The 24308-nt window shown below is 38.5% G+C and overlaps 1 annotated feature.

Moving 5' to 3' along the window:
• Positions 1253-2917: an enhancer, noted in NCBI's record as "VISTA enhancer hs1107". NCBI's record gives its function as "enhancer in: dorsal root ganglion[5/6]" and the evidence as "EXISTENCE:transgenic organism evidence [ECO:0001131][PMID:17130149]".

Below are 24308 nucleotides of genomic sequence, written 5' to 3' on the forward strand. Positions count from 1 at the left end.
AGAACCCAGGCAAGCTCACCTGGACTTCTGACCTTCAGAACTGTGAGATAATAAACAGATGTTGCTCTACACTACTAAGTTGGTGGTAATTTGTTTCACAGCAATAAAAAGCTACCATAATAGGTTTGGGGCTGGGCTCAAGAATCGGTATTTCAACAAGTAGGTAGTCCCTAACCACAATTCAAGAAACCTCATCTAAAAGTTTTATAATTTTTGCTCTCCTGTCCAATAATCTAGGTTCACAACTAGTTTTCTACTTGGGAAGATAATGTATTTGTCCCTTTAATTTGTAATTAATTCCACCTCCACACTGAGAGTCTCTGTCTCAGGATTTTCCAAAGTCTTTTTACTTTATAAATCTCCCCACTAGTTACATAAACTAGTTATAGCCGAAATGTAATACCTGAAGCCTGTATTTGGACAAGTCCTCATACATGGAGAAGACAAAGAAAATGCTGTGAGTCCAAGAATGATGCTTTCTGGATGGGCCATTAATATCTTTGTAGTTGTGCCTTGACCACACAGGAGTGCACAGGAGTCTTTGAGTCTATGAGTCAGGGTTCAATAGGAAATCTTGACAAGGATACCATAAAACTGGAGTTATAAGAGTCACGCATTATACTGGTTTCTCTGCATGACCAGCCACTCCAGGTGTTAACAGAACATTTACCAGATAACCCGCAGTAAAAGGTAGCCTTCTTTGCAGTCTTGAGGAAAAGTGAGGCAGTGAAGAGCAGGACTTGAGATTCCTGAATATTTTGAACTTCTATCATCATTGAAATTCTCTCAACTTTCTTGATGGAGGCAGTTGAACAAAGTCTTTCCACAAAAAGAGAATCATCAAATATTAGTGATGGAAAGGAACTTGAAACTCATCTAATTGAAGCTCTCACTACAAACTCTGCTTAACTACTTTCAGTGATAGGGAGCTCTCCACATCACAGTTTAGCCTGCTCATGTCTGAAGAGCTCTGTTTAAAGAGCACTTCTTCAGGCTGAGCTGTAATCTGCCACCCTGTATCTTCCTCCTGCCTGCTTTAGGGAGACTTCTGCAGCCATGCCAACATTTAAAGACCACCATTATACTCCACTCCTATGCTTTGTGAGTTTTTAAGGAAATATCCCCATTCTCTCCAGTATTTTCTTGTTGGATATTATTCCCACACCATTCCACATGCCTGGTCTCTCAGAAAATCAACCATATCAGGAGGAGTATGGAGAACAGCCTACAGAAAGCAGAGTATTTACAAAAACAAGAGATGATAATGAAGCAACAAAGAGAAATAGAGAGACAAAAAGAGAAACTGACACACTTCAAGGCCAAATAGTGAGTGCACAGTCCTTTATAGCTCTGAAGTTCCAAGAGAATAGACAGGATTTGAAGTAGCATATTTAAGAGCATTGCTTCCTTAAAAAATAATTTCCTATCATCACTCCACTATTTTATAGACCCTACAGCATTTACATCCCTATTTCTGCCAGAATCATAAAGCAGCTGCAGTCACAAGCCCTAATGGAGTCTCTAACCTGAGCTGGAGAACAAAGAAGATTTTAAAGACAAAAAGAATAGATTGCAGAGGAGGAAAAGCAGCCCGCAGTTCCCACTTGGCCAGATAATATAACATAGTCTTTGTCTTATCTGTCAATATCTATAAGTCTGAAAAGCCAAATATGTACAGTGCTTATGTGTCTAGACAGACAGACAGTTCTAGACAAATCATGGAGCTGAATTTTTATGCTTTGGAAATATTTTAAACAAAGGTACTGCTGTGGAGGTCTTACAGTGCAAATGCCCCTAGCTCAAATGCAGCAGGAATCCGAGGAAGAATTTTCAGGTTCTGATGGAAGGGGAAAGATCTGACTTAACAAAAAAGTTTCTTTCCTATCTCCCCCTCCCCTCCCAGCAGCCCAGTACAACACCTGTCTCATCAGCAGGGGCACTCGGAAGGGATGGGCCTCAAGGCACCTCGGTCTCAAGATTCTCCATGCCTCATCCTTCATCCACGCTGCTCGTAATGTGCCATCACTGGCACAGTTACACCTGAACACTCTGGTGCTGCCAAACACCTGGCTTGATTTTCCACTGTCCAAATGAAAAATAAGCATAATCTGCTTTTTGAGGATACAGCAAATGAGGGAGTTCATGACAAATTGTGTTGGTTTATGCAGAATAGTGATAATAAGATACAAATGAGAATTTTTTGCTTAATGAATAATACTAATCACGTTTCAACAAATGCTGTGCCCTTCTAATTAGAGAGACTGCATAAAATCAGCTTAATTTATTTGTGACTAGTTATACAGAGTTTAAATATTTACTAGAGATTTACTCAAATGTTTGAGAGGATTTTTAACATTTCCTGTGGTAGAAATGGCCTGCCTAGTTCTGTGGAATGTGGTGACAGCTCTAACTTGTGGGAGCACTCTGATTTTGCAGTGTGTGATGAAAATCCTGGTTTCAAAATGAAGAAGAAAGGGTATTATTGATTTACATACGAATTCTCCAACTGTTACTCATTTTCCTGATTCCAGCTTCCAGCTTCCAAAGTTGGTCCTCGAACATTCATCACTGTAGTACACTAGAGGGGATCAGCATCTTTTTCAATAAATTATAGGAACCATGACTAATTACAGTGATATTAACTATGCAAAGTATTGTGTAACTTAAAATGGATACGTTCATCATTTCAAATTATGCCTTTGACTTTTGATGGTCTAATACAGAAATACTCTTTTTGTACTAAATGTGTTCTTAGAATCTCTTTACAATTCTAGTTCTTGCTTGTGAATATACTGACCTACTAAATATAACCCTCTTGAGCCTCTTCAATGACCCAGAGCAATTATAGGAAGAACACACAGAACACCTTGAGAAAATAAGAAGCAGGGAGATATATATGTGTTATGCCTCCCTAGCATCAAATTGGATATAAGAGGTCTAGTCATAAGAAATTTTGTTGAAATGTTTTATCATTTGTAGCTTTCAATAGCATTTTGACCATAAATTGGTTTTATTTGATCCTAAAAGCAACTCTGGGGCTTTTAGATATCCATGTCCTAATCTTCTGGAGGACAATACTGAGGCATCAAGAGGTTAAGTGATCTGTCCCAGGCCACAGGGCTAATTAGTGACACTGGGGATGAGAACCCACACTTGCTGCTATCTAGTCCATGTTATAGTTTTTACACCAATTGAACCAATACTTCAGTTAGTTCATTAAAGAATACAGAAAACTTCCAAAGTTTACCCTTTACTCAAGCAATAGGATTTGTTCCATCATTCATTCACCCATTCATTAGTCAATCTATAATCATTTATTGAACTCCTTTTCTGTGCCAGGCACTGCATTAGATGCTACACATAGAAAGATGAAGACAACAAGCTTTACCTTACAGAGCCCTCCCTCTGGTGGGGAAGATTGACATGTAGCCAGGGAATTATCAAACATCATGAGAAGAGCTATAAGGTCTGAATAAAGTGTTATGGGGGCACAGAGGTGAGAGAATTGTTTCTGACTAAAGGCAAGAAGTCAAAGGAGGATTCTCCAATGAGGCGATGGTTAAATTCAGTCTGAAAGAATTCACTGGGTTTTCCCCAGCAGACAAGACCAGAAAAGGCATTCCATATACTCGAAAAAGCAAGGCTTGAAGGACACAGTGCATCAGGGAAGCAGAGGCTAGAAAAGTAGGCAGGGGATTTTGAGGAGGGCATTGCATGTCACCCTAAAGAGTTTGAGCTTTATTGTATGCTGGCAAAGGGTCAGTTCAGGGTTCTAAGCAGAACCGTGATAGTGTCAGCTTTCTGCTTCAGCAAGGTCATCTGGAGAAGGTGTATAAAACGGAAAAGAAGGGACAATACTGGAGGAAGAGAAACTAAGTAGAAGGCTACTGCAGTGCTGTAGAAGCAAGTGTTAAGGATCTGAGTCAGGACTGGGGAAGCAAAGGGCAAGGGCTGCCTAAGAAAATGGATTGAAAGATATTTAGGACAGGATGCGCTAATGGACTACACTTGTGGCATATATACTTGTGGTATGTATAGGTATGTTTTCCCCCACTCTCTGGTTGTCTTTGTTCCTTTGGTTTTTATGTGACATGCCTTATCAGTCGTTAAATTTCAATAGGGCAGGAACAAATATTTGTCAAAGGGAAATTCTTATTTTTTTGAAATTGTACCTTGTGCAGTGCTCACATTGTAACAGGTATATTCATGGAAATGATTTTTGACTTACGATCGGCTGACATGTTATGACGTGGTGAACTTTCCTCCAACGTACAGAGAAAATGACGTCTACATCAGAATTGAAAATATTGTGCCTGAAAGCCCATATACTTAATAGGGAATATTTTTAATTCCTAAATATACCTTCTCCTCAATACTAATTGCAAACAATACAGCAAACCTCAAGGCAAATATGTGTTCCAAACCATAATATATAGCCCATACTTTAGGCCTTTAAGATGGCATATTGTATGTCAAGATAGCTTGTGACAACACTTAATTCATAGTCAAGAAAAGGATCATATAGGAAGCGGGTTGAGTGCAGACCCGCTGGAGCCAAATGCCCAACTTCAAATGTTCCCTCTATTATAAAGCTGTGTGACCTTGAACAAGTCATTAAACCTCTTTGTGTCTCAGGGTCTTCATTTGTAAGAGGGGACTAGAAACAGTTAACTACCACAGAGGTCATCATAGGTATTGAAGTATTGAGTCATTATATGGACAGAGCTTGGTATAGTGTTTGACATTATTATTATTATTATTGCTATCATAATTGTCAGATTAAAGAAAGACAGGCTGAGGCCTTAATAACATGATGTGGTTCTACCCAATACTCTTAGTTATGACAACAATAGTATGGCTATCTTCAAAATCCAATATAAGCAGCATAGTCATTAATTACAAAAACAAAGGAATTGTCTTTTAATCATAGATTTCTGATTCTGAAAATATCACTAAGTTCAAAAAAGGTGTTATATACATTAAGGGATGCTCTATACTGAACAGGCAAGAAATCTGGAAGATAAAGGGCCTTGCTCAAGGTTATCCCATTAACAGGTATCCCAGAAGGGATTTGCCCTGAGGTCACCTACCTATAAATCCATGTGCCCAGCCCCAGTGATCAAAGTGATTCTTGGCCTTCAACAGCTCACGATGAAGAACCTTCATTCTCTTAGACAAAGTTGGCCTCTCCAATGTCCTAAGTGTTTTAGTAGGTTTTTCTCAAGATATTCAACCCCATTATGTATTACTCTTTTAAGGCCAATTCAGCAACCTGAACATCATGTGGAAATTCACATGCAAATGCATCATGGTGAAGTAGAGGATTTTAAACAACCTTCTAAATATATAGCATCCTCATCTAAAAATCAATGTACTGAATATAGGTGGACATTCAGAACCTAGCATGATTTAGACCTTGATCATTGTAAGCACCTTTTAGAAAATGCATGGGCTCACGTTTTATTACTGTGATAAAATAAAAATTAGTTGATTAAATGAAATTTAAAAGATCGCTAACTTTTTTTTAAAGTATTTAATGAAATGACCCTTTAAAAACAACCTATTAGCTGTCAGATGCCTTTCAAAAATATGTAATGCATCCTAATTAGAACAGAAAAAACAAACAAACATCTGAGGCCTTTAGGGTCCCTGAGATCATAAAACTTTCTGCCTCTTTTCTGACACCAGCAGCTTTAGGCCCCATTTCACCACTGGACAGTTGGTGCTTGAGGCTGAAGCCTTGAAAGGAATCCCGCAGAAGCTCGGACTGAAGTTGTTCTGGCAGCAGAAGGAGGCCCTAAAAGCATCTGATTATTTTAAAATGTGCTTTCATTGTGCTGTTTGCAGCTGTGAGTTAATTTTGTTAAAAAAAAAAAAAAAGACCATTTGCTTCTTTAAAATCCAGGTTTTTTTCCCTCTGCAGAGCAGCTGCAAGGAGAGCAGCTTCAACTTCAAAAGCCCCGTTTCCCCGAGAGCACTGCTTTGGGAGGATGCCTTCCTCTTGCTGTGCTCCCAAAGGCACAAGCTTCCAAGGCTCTCTTCATTGGTTGACTTGTGCAATGGGCAGATGGATGGGCCAATTGCAGAACTGTAGAATATCACAACTGGCAGGGTCCTTGCAAGTCTTCTGATCCGACTCTCAGCTGTTTCACAGATGAGACACCTCAAGGACAGAGAAGTTAAGTGACTAACCTAAGATTTCGTATCTATTTAATAGTAGCCTCATAGCGCATATAATCTAGAACCAGAGAGCAATGGGGTGTGGGGAACAGAGATTTAGGTGCCATCACTAGGCAGATTCTACCAGTGAGCATTTTCCCTCCCCAAGGCAGTATTTATCACAGCTATCCACAGGACTTCTTAAAGGTGCTTGGCCACCAGCCCCTTTATCCCTCTAGTACCATTTCTGAAACACCTTCTCAATCGAATTCTGGACTACTTCTCTCTTCCCAGTCACCATTTGCTCACAGACCCCTTGATTAAATGGGCTCATGCATGCCTCTCTCTACTGTACCATGCCTTACAATCTAACCAATTTGATACCATGTGAGTACTCAAGTGTCTAGTTTATAGTTACTTCTAGCTTTTGAGATCTAGATTGTGAATGGACTTTCTTCCTTTTACCACACTGCCAAATGAGGTAAAGGAGTTCTAGATCCTGACTTTGGAGCTTCTTCCCTCAGTGTAAGATAATCAGTGTCGCCGTGAATCTTCCCATGTTTCTATACCTTTAAAATAAGACACACAGTGATAATCAACCCCGTCTCTGTCATTGCCCTGTTAGCTACAGGGTAGTTCTGCCAGTCACTTGCCAATCAATTTCACAGAATGTAGGTTGTGCCTCACCCAATTCATCTCCTAATTAATGAAGTGACAAAATTTTGACATTTTGTTGGCTTCTCTGGCTCTCGTGGGAATTTGGGGAAAAGGATTGAAGGAGGCTGAGAAGGAGAAGAGTGAACAAGAAGAGAAGAAGATGCACTTAACGGGTTTTTGCTAATTTTTAGTTAATAAAAATTTTGTAAATAAATAATATTTTCTGATTATGAAAGCAATATACGTTCAGTGAGAAAATCTTTTTTAAATACTGGAAAACATAAATAATAAAATAAAAACCACTTTATTTAAGTTTCATCAGTTTCATTTTGATATAAAACCTCAATGCCATCTACCTTAAATGATTAGGTAATATGTTAGCTCATCCCAAAATTGGGGCAAACTTTACTGTTATTTTGATTCAGAGACTTAACAGTGTTACCAGTTACAAGGTCTCATTCCACCTCTCTACTCTGCCTCCTGTGTGGCAGTTCACCCTAAGGCTTGCTTTCCCCTGGGAGACAAAATCTCTTTCAATATTACCCAGGACTTCATGCTTCCTCATCCATGTCCAGGGAGCAAGAATGGGTATCCCTCATCCAAAAACTGAATAAAAGACTTTCAATTATCTCTCATTAGACCAAATAAAGTTATATGCCTGTCTCCAAGCCAGGCAATCAGGCCAAGATATTGGGGAGGTAGGGAAATGTTGGTCAAAGGATACACAATTTCAGTTCTGTAGGATGGATAAGTTCTAGAGATTGAAGGTACAGCATGGGGCCTACAGTTAATATTGCTGTATTGTATACTTGAACTTGGTTAGAGAGTAGATTTTGTGTTCTCATCACACACACACAAAAGGTAACTATGAGAAGAGATGATATATTAATCAGTTTGACTGCAGTAATTAGTTCACTTTGTATGCATATTGAAACATCGTATTGTATACCTTAAATATATATACACTTTCAATTTTTAAACAAATTCTAAAAGGCCAAAATATTAATAATACTATTCACAAAATGGCTTGGGCCTGTGGTTCCACCTCTAACCTAAAAACCATAAGTAGAGGGATTAGACCCTCCCAATTGATTTGATCCAATTGACACTCCAAACTGATTTGAGTTCCACCCACAAAACTCAAGTAGAGGTCAGTCTCACCAAGTTGCATAGCTGTTGCATGTGGTGCAGAGGTAGGAGGGATAATGGAATGGATACTGGGGAGTCAATCACAGTGTCTTCCATACACCAGGAATCCCACTGCCCAGGGAAGATGTATGTTGGTGTTTTTGTTATACTACGTAGCTCTGAATATGCACATATAAGCTGTGGGGTGGGAGGTGGGGGTGATGTTATTACAAATCACCATTAAATTGTATATATTGTTTTATGACCTTCCTATTTTTCACTGAAAAATATGAGAGTTTTCTCATGCCAACAAATATTATTTTAAAAATTATTTAAAGGGCTTCATGGAGTTTAAATATCACCTAAGATTTGGGCATTCATTAAACTGTTTTACTTTCCACCCTTACGAATATATACATACATACATACATGCATTTGAATATATATCATATATCATTGTTCACATCCAGATTTGTTTCCATAGGATAGAGTACTAGAGGTGGAATTGAAAGAAAAAGAATATAAACAAAAGTTTTAGTTACTTATTACGAAATCACTTAGAAATACTGTGCCACCTTTACACTCTGGCAATAGCATACATTAGCATGTTTAAGTATCTACACCTGCTATATTTTTTAATCCTCAAAATATAAAAATATCACTGAGGTCAGTAGTCAAATCTGTGGGGAAAACAAAAAAACACTAACTTATTAAAAACTTGGAATTTCAAATATAGCAACTCTTGATTTTTTTCAACCCATGATGCCTAGGCCTATCCGAAAAGCTAACACAAAAAACGATCATATTTGTGTGAGGAAGAAAACTAAGGTTTCCTGAGGACCTAGAGCATGTTACTCTATTAATCCTTACTCTTATACAAGTAAATGCAGGCACATAATTTGAGCTATCCTAAGAAAAAGGTAAATTTATCGACTCATATAAGGAGTAAGGTATAATTGGAAATGACTAAAAACAAAGATTTGATGGCAGCAGGATACACCCTCTCCTTACCTCTGCCTCTATCATGTCTTCTCCTACTGCAAATCAGGATTCTCTGAGAAACCAGGGCCCCACCTGCCAGCAGCTTCTGAGTGTGCACTTTCTCACTTTCACCACCAGAAAAGCTCGCCCCAGCCTCAATTTCAAAAATCCAGGGCTATTTCCTGATTGTCCAGGCTTAGCTCACGTGCAGATCCCTTGCTTTGGGGAGAGTGGCAGTGTGCTTCTATAGAGTAAGCAGTTACTACATGATTAGCATTCCCTATAAATCACAGACATGATCTAAGTAGAGAGAAACAGCTCCTCTAGAGGAGAATGGCATTATCAGAAGAGGAAAGGCATGCTAACTAGACACAAAAGACCCATCTCACAAATATTATTTTTAAAGTCTTTAACTCCACGAAGTAGTTATTACCATAAATGTATAGAGGAGGAAACTGAGACTAATAGAAATCAAATCATTTGCCATGGATCTCTCTCTCTCTCTCTCTCTCTCTCACGCACACACAACCCAAAGTGATATAGCTGGAATTTAAACCCAGCTCAGTCTAATTCTAAATCCTATTCTTTCACTTACTATACATCCAGAAATATAGCTATTATGTAAATAAAGACACTGTGGTTAGATGGCAGACAATAATACCTCACCCACCCCTCCCTGGTCCCCTCTACGCCCCCGCCCCCACCGCCCCACACACATACAACTTCACAGTGTTGCCATACACTATTCTGGCTTCCACTAATACATGTGAGGAAAAATGTTTCATGTGTGGCCTCTACCAGCTTCCTCTCTGAGCTGCAGCTGCCCCAGACTATTGTCCTGAACCACAGAGCTATGGGGAAAGGGAAGGCACGTATCGAAGGAAACAGCCCATCCTCAGCCCTCTCTTGGTCAAAATCTAGTATTTACTCTAGGGAGATATGCTGAATTTCCATTTGCTCACATTTCCATCTTTTTCTCTTCTGTACCCCATGAGAGAAGACTAACCTAACCTGTCTCTAAAGTGCACAAGAAGTATCACAGAGGAGCCCATTGCTTCAATCCAGTCCACACATTTCATTTTGTGGCCCAGGGAAACAAGGACCAGAGAAATCACATGATTTGCCCAGGGTTAAAAGCCCAGCTAATGTCATGCGAGAATCCAAACTCAAGGCTCCCATCTCTTAGGCTAGTGGCCATCCCAATCACATGAGGATGTTTCCTCATTCCAAATGGAGTGTGCTTTTAGGGTGAAAATTAGATCAGAAAGCAGCTCCAGAGAGGAAGGATGAAGGATGAGGAATATCTGTGCAGTCTCAAATGAAGAATACCCCACCCTGTCCTTAGAAAAAGATGAACATGGCAGGGCACGGTGGCTTACGCCTGTAATCCCAGCACTTTGGGACGCCTAGGCGGGCGGATCACGAGGTCAGGAGATTGAGACCATCCTGGCTAACATGGTGAAACCCCGTCTCTACTAAAAATACAAAAAATTAGCCCGGTGTGGTGGCGGGTGCCTGTGGTCCCAGCTACTCGGGAGGCTAAGGCAGGAGAATGACGTGAACCCGGGAGGCGGAGCTTGCAGTGAGCTGAGATCGCGCCAGTGCACTCCAGCCTGGGCGACAGAGCAAGACTCCGTCTCAATAAATGAATGAATGAATAAATAAACAAATAAGATGAACATGCCTCCAATCATAGGAGAGAAACAGAGTCACAGAGGACAGCAGTTGAATTAGGACTAAAGTGATATCAGCAAACATTTATTACATACCTATTAGGTGTGCAAATGACTATTTTGTGCAAGGTGCTGGGGATCAAGAAATAACACAGACAGAGTCACGGGCCTCAGAAAGATAGCGGTTGGCTCAGTTGGTGGGGAAGATAGACATTAAACAAAAAGTTACATGCGTGATGGCTATTTTGAAAGGTCAAGTGCAGGATACCTTGGGAATATAGGGCCTATCGATGGCATTAAGAATGGCCTGTCAGCAGAGAGGAATTCAAGCAGAGATTTGAAGGATGAGCAGGATATATGCAGGAGCATATAGAGGAGAATGACTGTCCTTGCAAAGGAAGCAGCATATATAAAGACCTGGAGGTGAAAGAAAGTGCTGATTTGGGAACCTGGCGGCAGGTTCCTGTATTTAGAACATCAAGAGTGAGGAAGAATGTGGGATAGTTGTCTGGAGAAGCAAGTAGAGACCAAAATATGCAGAGCCCCATGAGCTATGTTCAGAAATTTGATCTCTATCTCAAGGGCAATACAAAGGGTTTTACGCAGGGAGAGGTAGGATAATATCTGCATTTTTAAAAGATCATTCTAACAGCAGCAGTGAGAGATTAGAAGGGACCAAAGCTGAATGTAGTGAAAAACCTCTTAGGAGGTGCTCCCGCTGGTCTGATTAAACCATGGTGGTGGCCTAGATGTGAGTGTTGACAGGGTGGAAGAGGAGAGGATGCAAGATTTGCTTCCACTGTTCCCTGAACCATACATACCAGGAAAAACAAAATCAAACCTAAAGTCTGTCGATGAGCAGGGTCTCTGAGAATTAAAATAGAAAGAAATCCAAATCGCCTCCTGTTTGCTAGGAAAGGATTAGAGAAGTAAGTCTACAAAAGAAAAATAAAATTAGTTGTTGTAATTCTGATTCACAGACTATTTCCTGGCCAGATGCTGCTGTGGAAATTTCAGAAACACCCACTAAAATCATAAATGAAAATCACATATTCGTAACATTTAATGGGAATACAGGCTGAATTTACAGCCGCTGAATGTGCAATATGGATGAAGATGTTGATTTACCCATGGAAGATGGAAATATATGTGATAGAAGAAAACAATACCCAGAAATGTGATAAACATTTGCATGAAAATGAATCACTGAAAAAACTCAAAACTTCTTCAATACTTTCTGCATCAAATTATCTTCAGAGCAGCCAAAAGAAATAATAATAAATAATAATAGTGCATTTTCCTGCTGTTAATTTTTTTTTACAAAACTTTTGTTGACTTCCGTGGAAGTTCTGCATCTAGAATGTGGCCCAGGAAATTTATAGTCTGTAACTCAGCGACCAAAGACCTTGAACATCAAGAAAATCTCTTACCCTTATTTATATACACTGTTCTTTATCACAAAGGAAGAGCTGGTACCCATTCCAAGTAACCAATCATTATGCAAGGAATATTCTGACTCACCCAGCATCTTTAATCAGTAAATGCTGTGCCAATGGAAAGAGAGTGGGACGAAGTCACAGCATCCATTAATAAAAAATGACTGGGGCTTTCTATCAACAGAAGCATCATTAGGAAATGTATGGTAGGAAAATAGTAGGCTGTAGATTTGTGGTGGCAGGGATGGCAATGGAATACTAACATTTATACCCTCTTAACTACTTTGTTTTAAAATGACTCTGGATTTCAGGTAGCTATACATGTGCTTAAACTATACATTGTGCATTTCTAATTTCTTGCTAAATCTCTGACTACAGTCTCAAAGGATAAGACTGCCTTACTTGTCCCCTTGGCCCTCCCTCCAATCTTCAAACACAGATATTTCTCTCAGGCAATTGACTGTCATTTCCTGAGCATACCCCTCATGAAGGCATTGGTCAATTCTCAGAAAAAATAAAATAAATAAATATGAAGAGGAAGAACTTCAGATTAATTCAATATTTTTTAAAATAATCTCCTCTCTTTGCTACACTTCCACTCCCAAACATGAACTCTTAAGTAAATAAAGAAAATATGATTCACTTTTCCAATAAACCATGAAATCTGTATTTCAACTGAGGCTGCTTCTTGGTCACATAGTATACTTGTAATTCCGAAGTAATTGTATTGCATTTTGAAAGAAAACAAGGCAGTCATGTTCCATCAACAGGAAGCCTTCTTGAGCATGTCTCCTGGTAGGCTAAAGGGATCTAAGTCATTCGCCGAGGGTGAATGGGAGAGTAAGTTCATATAAAACACCTACAAATCTTAATAAGGGGATGAGCTAAAACCACAAAACTCTTCATTCCTTTTCAAGTATCACTAATGCTTGTCACCAGTGGATTAACTAATAGTGTTCTACTTTAATGGCATTTCTGCTCTATCATTAACCTAAGCATGGTCCATAAAGTTACTAGAATATCCATAAATGAGCTTACTACAAGGTTATGTGATTTCTAGTTCTATCAGCTCAGTAAAAACAACATCAAATTCTTCATCCAGGTTGAGTTTTGTAGGACTGAGAGCTAGGAATTGGATAATAATATCAATGATTAAAATGATTTCAAAAAGAATTCAAATTTCTATTGTGTCAGTTTTCTGCTTCTTGCTTTTAAAAGATCATGATTCTGATCCTAATTTTCCATAGCAGGATATAGTTTCTAATGATATTCTACTATTTGTCTATATTCTACCTTCAGATGGAACCTAGATAGGTGGTGTTTTCAAATCACCACCCAGTCTATACTGGAACTTATACTGGTTTTGATAAGAAGTAGATGGAATATACTACCCACCCACCCCACAAAAAAAAAAAAGGCCTATTTAATCTAATCTTCTAGTGGAATTCCAGGATTTATGTCACTATTATAGAAAAACTCATTTTGGTTATAGCACCAACATAGCCAAATAAATGACTTCAAGATGCTAGAAGAAAGTATTTGGTCAAGATAAATAGATGTTCAAAAAGGCCTCCCCAGCATACTCATTTTGCTATATGGAAAATGAACTAACCAAGTTTAATGTACACCAAATGAGACTTGGAAGCACATTCTAATTCACTTTATTTTGTACCAGAAATGAGGCTGTTTTTTATTTTCCTGCTTCTTCCCTTAACCCCTAGGGTGTATTCTCAACAAAATGGCCAATGTGATCTTTTTGAAACATACATCAGATCACATCACTTCACTGCTCAGAACCCTCCCATGTCTTCCATTCTCTGAAAGACAGAAAGCCAGGGCCCTGGCAGTGGTCTACAGGCCCCACACCATCCGGCCTCTCCGATGTGGCCGTTCCTTCCCCTGGCACACTTTAACCCCACGGAATACACTGGTTCTCAAACACACTCAACATATTCACTCCTCAGGACCTTTACCATTAGCTGTCCCCACTGACTTCTTTCCAATGTCTGCAAGACCAATTCCCTCTCCTCCTTCAAATCTTTGCTCAACAGTCACCATCTCAGCAGGCCAACCCTGTATAACTCATTTAAAATGATATGTCACTGCTTCTTCCCACACTCCCAACACCCCTTGCCCTTTCCTCCATAGCAGCACTTATTGCCTTCTACCATTCTACATAGCTTACATGTTTATTACACTTATTATCCTTTTTCCTCTCTAGAATTTAAACTCCACAAAGATGTGAATTTTAATCCATTTTGTTCACTACTGTATAACCAGGACTTGGAACGATACAGGGTACATAGTAGGTGCTTAATAACATCAGATGGATGAATGAATGAATTCCAAATTTGCTGAACATCACAAAGATCTAGCCACACACAAAAATATTTAACTTAAACCCTTGATTTAAATTCTGCCATCCTCCATTTTCTCATCTGTAAAATGGAATAATTAGAGTGTCTAACACTTAGGACTGTTGTAAAGATTAAAAGAGAAAACAAATGGAAAACACATAAGATAGTGTCTTACATATTGATTCATTATTTTGATTCGTTTAGGAAAAGAATCAAGGATAATAAAAATAACACCTAAAATTTACATAGAATTTTACTCTGTATGAATTTATACAATTGTTTTCATTAGATCTTCCCAGGCTCCTTCTAGATCAATACCCCAGAAAAAAGAAATAACAGTATCCTCAGCGTCTGCACCTTGCAATGTCAGGGGATATATCCAAACACAAAGCTATGAAGGATGGGGGCAAGATTCAAACTGAAGTTCTATGATTCCAAGCCCTGTGCTTTCTCCTCAATATCAGAGAACGGAAATATTACCTCCAGCTTAAGGCTCTAACAGATTGAAAGGTCTCTGAAGTAGTGTTTTTTGTTTGTTTGGTTGGTTGGTTGGTTGTTTCTTTATTGAGACTGGATGTCTGCATAGACATGGCTGAGTCCAAGCAGCAGTCGGTCATCAGCATCCAGTAGTCCCTGCAAATCCCAGGAAGTTAGGACTCAAGCACTGGAAGACATTGTCTCACAACTGACCATTGATTCAGTCATGTATATGCTGCCTAGACTACTCTTATTATGTAATTTTTTCCCAACATGCTTCTAAACACCTCAAGGCCAAGATTGGATTTTGTCGGTCGGGGGCTCTACTCCTTATTCAGCCTTGTTTACATGGCTGTTTAGGAAATTCTTGATAAGTAAATGAATGAGTGAAAAAAAAAATGGGTGTATTTACTGGCTGTCTACAGCAGCTTGCAACACAACATTTTCTCCTTTCTTTTCTACTAAAGTAATTAGAGTACAAGCAGATGTCTACAGCAGCATGCCACCACCCCTCCCCATCCTCTACGATTGTGTTAATTGGGAAACTAGTTCCCCAGAATGTTGTGAACAGAAGAATTACACATTTAGAAAATGCTGAATTAAACAAATTTAAACAGGCTTTTTTACTACAGGACTTCTCAGGGCCTTTAATACACTGATGAACTGCAAATCTTCAAAATTTAGATAGGATCTGCAGCATTTTGCAAAGTTATTGAATTATGCTTTCCCCTCTACCCCACTCAAAAAAAAAGCTTTTTGCATGGAGCTTCTTTCTCTCAAGTCAAGTTTTCCAGGGAACTTGCTTATCTATAACAAAAACACTGAGGGTCTTCAAAAGCAAAATATACAAAAAATTAAAATAAAACACTAGGAACATAAAGAAAGCAAGGAGAGTTTAATTTTTTTGAAAGCTATATGCCTTGCAGAGTAATTTTACCTAGATTCAGTATTTACTTTCTATTAGGCCTAATACTGGGTTTGCATAAAACTACAGATCCTTGAGCAAGCATTATTTTGGTCAATGTGCTAAAAAACTGATATTTATTTCACTGTATTTTTGGTGTATATATATACATATATATATTTTTTTAAGTTGTGGGATACGTGTGCAAAATGTGCAGGTTTGTTACATAGGTATACATGTGCCATGGTGGTTTGCTGCACCCATCAACCTGTCATCTACATTAGGTATTTCTCCTAATGCGATCCCTCCTCCCCTAGCCCCCCACCCCCTGACAGGCCCCGATATGTGATGGTACCCTCCCTGTGTCCATGTGTTCTTATTGTTCAACTCCCACTTATGAGAACATGTGGTGTTTGGTTTTCTGTTCCTGTGTTAGTTTGCTGAGAATGATGATTTCCAGCTTCATCCATGTCCCTGCAAAGGACGTGAACTCATCCTTTTTTATGGCTGCATAGTATTCCATGGTGTGTATGTGCCATATTTTCTTTAGCAAGTCTATCATTGATGGGCCTTTGGGTTGGTTCCAAGTCTTTGCTATTGTGAATAATGCTACAATAAACATACACGTGCATGTGTCTTTATATTAGAATGATTTATAATCCTTTGGGTATATTCCTAGTAATGGGACTGCTGGGTCAAATAGTATTTCTGATTCTAGATCCTTGAGGAATTGCCACACTGTCTTCCACAATGGGTGAACTCATTTACACTCCCACCAACAGTGTAAAAGCGTTCCTATTTCTCCACATCCTCTCCAGCATCTGTTGTTTTCTGACTTTTTAATGACTGCCATTCTAACTGGCATGGGATGGTATCTCGTTGTGGTTTTCATTTGCATTTCTCTAATGACCAGTGATGATGAGCTTTTTTTCATGTGTTTTGTTTGTTTTTTAAAGAAGGCACTGGTTTGGCACCTTACACAATTGCACGGACTTTAACTAGAAAGCCAAAGCCCTTCATTGGCAAATTAGTTAAACTGCTGCTGGGAAGGGAAGCAAAGAGTGCTCTTGCCTCACTGGTCTTAGCACAGGGTCTATAACGTCCCCCTTGGGTCCATGTAAATGAAAACCTACTATCAAAAGGCAAATGTTATCCAAAGACCTTATCAGCCAATAGCATCTTACTTAATTTCATTTGCCTGTTAAATAAAGGTCAACTAGTACTGAGGGCAGAGGCCACAAAACTTAGACATTTTGATGATGCCAAGAAGAGAAGTATGGCTTGGGAGTAAGGTATGCCAGGGAAAGACAGCTGTAATTGGGCATCCTGAAGCAGGTAACAGGACAGTTATATCAGGAAAGAGGGTGCAGTATAACGGGGATGAAGGAAGACTGAATTCCACTGTGTCCACTTTATATGCTAGCCTCATGGTGGCATGATGACAGATCTTGACTATTAGAGTTTCCACAGGAAATAGTAAGCAGAAATTCAAAAGACCTAAACCTAATTGTGTAGATGTTGCTGGCTAAAGATCCAAAGATACACAAGGAAGTAAATAATGTCTTAGGACACTGGATTTAGCAAATATGAGAAGTTACTGATGATGAAAGGTCCCCAGAGCATGAGATAGGCATTCAAAGTCAAAATAAAACAAAACAAGCCTTTTATCTCATTCATCCAGGAGTATCCCATTTCTTCTTTTGTTTTACTCCACCCCATTTTCATCCTTAACCTCAGCCCCAAATGAAGAAAGGATAGAAATTAGCCTGATAGTCTGTGTTGCTGTGACAGATTTTTGTATGTATGTTCACATATACCCCAATCATCAGTTTTGCACTAGCTCCTAACTTTTATTTTTCAGACTACAAAAATATGCAAACTATTTGAAGGCTATACAAATCCCCTCCTCTCTTCCCGAACATATAGTTTAGGAATTGTTGATGAAATTACTTGACTCTAAGATTTAGCCTCCTTATGGAGACTCCTCTGAATTTTAAATCCAAAATTCCACACCCAGAGCCCAAGTCCTTTATGTTCTTCACATTCCCACTGTGCTGCTTCTGTGAATGTTCTGTGGAGGCCTTATCTTCAGGCAATGCCCATTAAGCACAGCCCTCGGATGCAAAGGCATTCTATTCTCTTAGGGCATCTCAATTTGGAATATGCTAAAGGGAAGATTTTTAAACAGGTTAATACTGAACCCTGAACGAGTCTCTGTGCCGCTGAAAGAGGATTCACTGACTCCAGATGAGCAGAGCTCACCACAGACCAACAGGGTGAGTCCTCCCCCCACTCAGTCTCGCCCACAGCTCCCTTCTCAAAGCTGCTGAAATCTGCTCTTCCTTTGTCTTCTTAAGAAGATCTAGTTTTCCCTGGATCTTTTCCAGGATAAAACCCACTCATTTCCTTGACTCACAATGTCCTCTGGAAAACTAAGTAATGAAAGCAGATGCTCTAACTCAGACACATATTTTCTCACTCAAATGTTCATCCCAGCTTCCCACCCAAAACTAAAGCACAATCTATTAGAAAAGTCACCATCTCTAAAGCCCACAGAAAAATTGGTCGGGCTGTTCTTGTGAGTTTCATAACTGTAACTTTCAATTAATCCAACATTTGTTTTATATTTTCTCTGTTTTGACTCTTATAGGACATCCTCAGCAAAACAGATATACTTTTCTTTCTGAGTATTCTAATACTCTTTTTGGTATTCTAGCATTAAAACTTTAAACTTTTTCTTGGAGGGGAGAGAAACCTGCTACGTAGATTTTACTTTCTTTGGCCAGTCACAAATAAACTAATGTATTTTTAGCTAGATACTCAAATGACATCCATAAAGTCAAAATCTGAACAATTATCTCTGTGTATTCCTAATCTTTCTTCCTCCCCCAGGATGGGGGATTGGGTGTAGGAGATCCATAAGTGGCAAGCCATTTCTTTTTTTTTTTTTTTTTGAGACGGAGTCTTGCTCTGTTGCCCAGGTTGGAGTGCAGTGGTGCAATCTAGGCTCACTGCAAACTCCGTCTCCTGGGTTCATGCAATTCTCCTGCCTCAGCCTCCTAAGTAGCTGGGATTAGAGGCGCCCGCCACCACGCCCAGCTAATTTTTTTGTATTTTTAGTAGAAATGGGGTTTCACCATATTAGCCAGGATGGTCTCGATCTCCTGACCTCGTGGTCCGCCCACCTCAGCCTCCCAAAGTGCTGGGATTACAGGCGTGAGCCACCGCGCTGGGCTGGCAAGTCATTTCTAATTGTTTCCATAAACCAACAGGCTGAACACATTGAATGTGACCCCTCTTATAATTGTATCATCTGTGGCAGACCAAAAGTTTTCTATGTTTAAGAATCCAAAAGGCAGACTGTTACAATAACCTTGTGTGTCTTATTGAATGGCTGATTCCAATTAATAAATAAATAGAATTAATTAATTTAAAAGACTCACATCCAGTATTTCATGTGACTGCTGTTTATCCTCCGTGGCATATATAAACTTTTTTTTAGAAATTGCGGGAAGTGTCAAGACCCTTACTTGTTACAATTTAATTTTGTGCTGCTAAGGCAATTACAGTTCAATGAATGATGATTCAAACACATCGAAGTTTTCATTACTCTTTGCTTAATTTGTCAGTTAATGCCTTTGAGTTCTACGGTTTCCCCGGCTGTCTTAATTGCCATTAAAAACCTGTCAAGAAAACACAACCTTCTGATTCCAGCCGGGTTTAAAGAGTATATATCCTTTCATTGTTAAGAAAGTTAAAACTTATTCCCCAACCAAAATATTCGTACTCCACAGTTAGGAAAGGTTGCAATAATTTTGGATTAGTGTTTTCTAATGCAACAGCACTGTAATAAATACCAGAAATAAGAGTTCATGCTTAAGATACTATATATCATAAGAATGTTACATTCTATCAATGTTTCTTCGTAGTTTATGGTTACCTGATAAATGTTGGACTTTTAGATTCCTCTCCATGTCCCAAACATCTATTACACTTACACATTTTATACTTCTCTAATATTTTTGCAATACATTTTCCTGAATCATCTGATGACATTTAATAGAATGTTTAAAACACAATATAAAACCTTAAATGCTTTTGCTTATTCCGGACGAAAAATGTGCACATAGATTGGATTTCAAATTAAAACCTACGATGGTGTACTCAACATTTTTGCTTCTGCTGTACATACTAAAATATAACTAAATGCTTCTTATGCAATACTGCAGCATCAGTACAAATAACAAGTTCTTGTACTTACAAGCAAGCTAGATGATTAGGAGCTATTAATGAAGGGAAACAAAACCACAGTGCTGGGATGTAATAGTCCATGAAATTCTTATTGGTAGAAAGGGAATCTGCAGTAAATAAATATTAACCTAAGTGCTATAGAAAACATAAAGCAAACAGGGAAAAATGTGTTCTTTAAGCTAAAATATAGGTTAAATATTGCTGACAATGTAAGGAAAGTCCATTTGCATACCACAGGGCTCCATCTGCTGTGGAAAACATAAGCTGCAAGAATGATTTAATATTTAATAGAAGTAGTAGCCGTTGTTAATTATAATTTGCACATTTACAAATCAGCACTGATAGCAATACAAATTATGAAATATAAGGGTGTTCTGCTGGATACTAGGGAAAATAAGATGACAGACAAAGTTAATGGAGTATCCCTAACCACAGCTCTGTCAGAACACATCAGAGAACTAATCCAGTTACAAAGAGCCTGCAATGGAAAATCTATTTAAAATATTAAAATGCTGTTTGGTAAAAGCTTTTTCATAGTGCATTTTACTTAAACAGTTGCTTATTGCTCATGGGTCATTAGCTGTACACCCAGATGCATTCTGCAAACTGCCATTTAAAAGAATAGTAGAAATTAAATAAGAAATATATTTCTGCAGCATTTTTTCCTTGATATATAGTAAGAGTTTGCTGAATATCTAGGCTGGATATGAAAAAAAAAGTGTGTGATTACACAATAAGTGGAAAGCTGTGGAATTAAGCACTATACTTTGCCTACATTGAGCCATAAAACTCAACACAACTTTTCCCTCTAGACCTGATTTTATTCCCATTTATACTTACATGCTAATAGTGATGATACAAATCGACTCTTATTTAGTAAGACAGAAATTACCATTGATTTTCTCATTAATCTTCTATTTCACCTCATTTCTCTCATCATCATATAATATGGATTAGTGGTGGAAACATTTTATGCACAATGTTTTAATAGTAACTTTTGTTCTCTAAATCATGAAAACTGCTAATTTTAGCCTCTAGAATCACTAATTTTCAAAACTGATCTTTTATTCAAACTTCCTCAATTTACTGTGATTAGCAAATCCTTGCTCCATGACCATTTATTTTTAATATATGCTAAAGATGTTTCTGCACCTTAAAAAAAAATGTAGAACAAAGGCCATACCAAGCATGCAGTTTAAAATACATTAGCCTAAGCAAGTCAAATTGTTATAGATCACATTTAAATGTAAAATTGGATGTTGTCAAGGAACATCAGGAAAGAGCACATATTCAAGTCTATGTGTAAAGTATACTATCAAGGTATTTGTTGAGTTTAGGCAGACGTGAAAACTGGCAGTCTCTGGGTCAAGTACTTTCAGGAGATGTTTTTGTGGCTATCTTCATTTTTACATTTGAATTTGAATCTTTTAGACAGTTGCCCACTTGTTGTTATTGTCTTATTCTTAGCAACTTCATGCCTTTATGTTACCTACCTAACCCCTGTTAAGTATTATCCCTGGCTTAAAGAATTATTTTACGTATCTATTAATATGCTACTTTATCTGTTTTTAGATATATTTTCCTTCAGCCAACACATTCGGCACATATATTCATGCTTACAATCCAGTAAATGATCCATGAGATATGAATTTCATTAATTTTGGACCTCAAATGGGCTATAATATTAGTCAAAAGGAGTTAAAAGCATCTGTGTACTAGCAATGGAAGCCTATCAGGAAAGTGTCTGTCTTCACCAGGACTCTAGGTTTAAACAACCAAAAAAAAGTCCAGGACCAGACGAATTCACAGCCGAATTTGAACAAAGGTACAAAGAGGAGCTGGCACCATTCCTTCTGAAACTACTCCAAAAAACAGAAAAAGAAGGAATCCTCCCTAACTCATTTTAAGAGGCTGCCATCATCCTAATACCATAACCTAGCAGAGACACAATACAAAAAGAAAATTTCAGGCCAATATCCCTGATGAACGTTAATGTAAAACTCCTCAGTAAAATACTGGCAAACCGAATCCAGCAGCATATCAAAAAGCTTATACACCACGATCAAGTTGGCTTCATCCCCGGAATGCAAGGCTGGTTCAACACATGCAAATCAATAAACATAATCCATCACATAAACAGAACCAATGACAAAAACCACATGATTACCTTAATAGATATAGAAAAGGCCTTTGACAAAATTCAACAGCCCTTCATGCTAAAAACTCACAATAAACTAAGTATTGATGGAACATATCTCAAAATAATAAGAGCTATTCATGACAAACCCACAGCCAATATCATACTGAATGGCAAAAACTGGAAACATTCTCTTTGAAAACCGGCACAAGACAAGGATGCCCTCTCCCACCACTCCTATTCAATATAGTATTGGAAGTTCTGGCCAGGGCAATCAGGCAAGAGAAAGAAATAAAGGGTATTCAATTAGGAAAAGAAGAAGTCAAATTATCTCTCTTTACAGATGACATAAATTGTATATTTAGAAAACCCCATCGTCTGGCTGGGCATGGTGGCTCACGCCTGTAATCCCAGTACTCTGGGAGGCCGAGGCAGGCATATCTCAAGGTCAGGAGATCAAGACCATCCTGCTAACAAGGTGAAACCCTGTCTCTACTAAAAAAACATACAAAAAAAAAAAATTAGCCAGGTGTGGTGGCGGGTGCTTGTAGCCCCAGCTACTCAGGAGGCTGAGGGAGGAGAATGGTGTGAACCCAGAAGAATGGAGCTTGCAGTGAGCCAAGATCACGCCACTGCACTCCAGCCTGGGCGACAGAGTGAGGATCCGTCTCAAAAAAAAAAAAAAAAAAAAAAGAGAAAAGAAAAGAAAAAAAAGAAAACCCCATTGTCTCAGCCCAAAATCTCCTTAAGCTGATAAGTAACCTCGGCAAAGTCTCAGGATACAAAATCAATATGCAAAAATCACAAGCATTCCTATATACAGATAACAGACAAACAGAGAGCCAAATCATGAGTGAATTCCCATTCATAATTGCTACAAAGAGAATAAAATACCTGGGAATCCAACTTACAAGGCATGTGAAGGACCTCTTCAAGGAGAACTACAAACCACTGCTCAATGAAATAAGAGAGGACACAAATGGAAAAACATTCCATGCCCATGGATAGGAAGAATCAATATCGTGAAAATGGCCATACCGCCCAAAGTAATTTATAGATTGAATGCTATCCCCATCAAGCTACCATTGACTTTCTTCACATAATTGGAAAAAAAAACACTTTAAATTTCATATGGAACCAAAAAAGAGCCCACATAGCCAAGACAATCCTAAGCAAAAAGAACAAAGCTGGAGGCATCACGCTACCTGACTTCAAGCTATACTACAAGGCTACAGTAACCAAAACAGCATGGTACTGGTACCAAAACAGATATATAGACCAATGGAACAGAACAGAGGCTTCAGAAATAACAACACATATCTACAATCATCTGATCATTGACAAACCTGACAAAAACAAGCAATGGGGAATGGATTCCCTATTTAATAAATGGTGTTGGAAAAACTGGCTAGCCATATGCAAAAAGCTGAAACTGGATCCCTTCCTTACATCTTATACAAAAATTAGCTCAAGATGTATTAAAGACTTAAACCTAAGATCTAAAACCATAAAAAACCTAGAAGAAAACCTAGGCAATATTATTCAGGATATAGGCATGGGCAAAGACTTCATGTCTAAAACACCAAAAGCAATGGCAACCAAAGCCAAAATTGACAAATGGGATCTAATTAAACTAAAGAGCTTCTGCACAGCAAAAGAAACTATCAGCAGAGTGAAGAGGCAACCTACAGAATGGGAGAAAATTTTTGAAATCTATCCATCTGACAAAGAACTAATAACCAGAATCTGCAAAGAACTTAAATAAATTTACAAGAAAAAAACAAACAACCCCATCAAAAAGTGGGCAATGGATATGAACAGACACTTCTCAAAAGAAGACATTTATGCAGCCAACAAATATGAAAAAAAACTCATCATCACTGGCCATTAGAAAATGCAAATCAAAACCACAATGAGATACCATCTCACGCCAATTAGAATGGCGATCATTAAAAAGTCAGGAAACAACAGATGCTGGAGAGGATGTGGAGAAATAGGAACACTTTTACACTGTTGGTGGGAATGTAAGTTAGTGCAAACATTGTGGAAAACAGTGTGGCAATTCCTCAAAGATCTAGAACCAGAAATACCATTTGACCCAGCAATCCCATTACTGAGTATATACCCAAAGGATTATAAATCATTCTA

Source organism: Homo sapiens, chromosome 1 (genome assembly GCF_000001405.40).
Source record: "Homo sapiens chromosome 1, GRCh38.p14 Primary Assembly".
Lineage (NCBI taxonomy): Eukaryota > Metazoa > Chordata > Mammalia > Primates > Hominidae > Homo > Homo sapiens.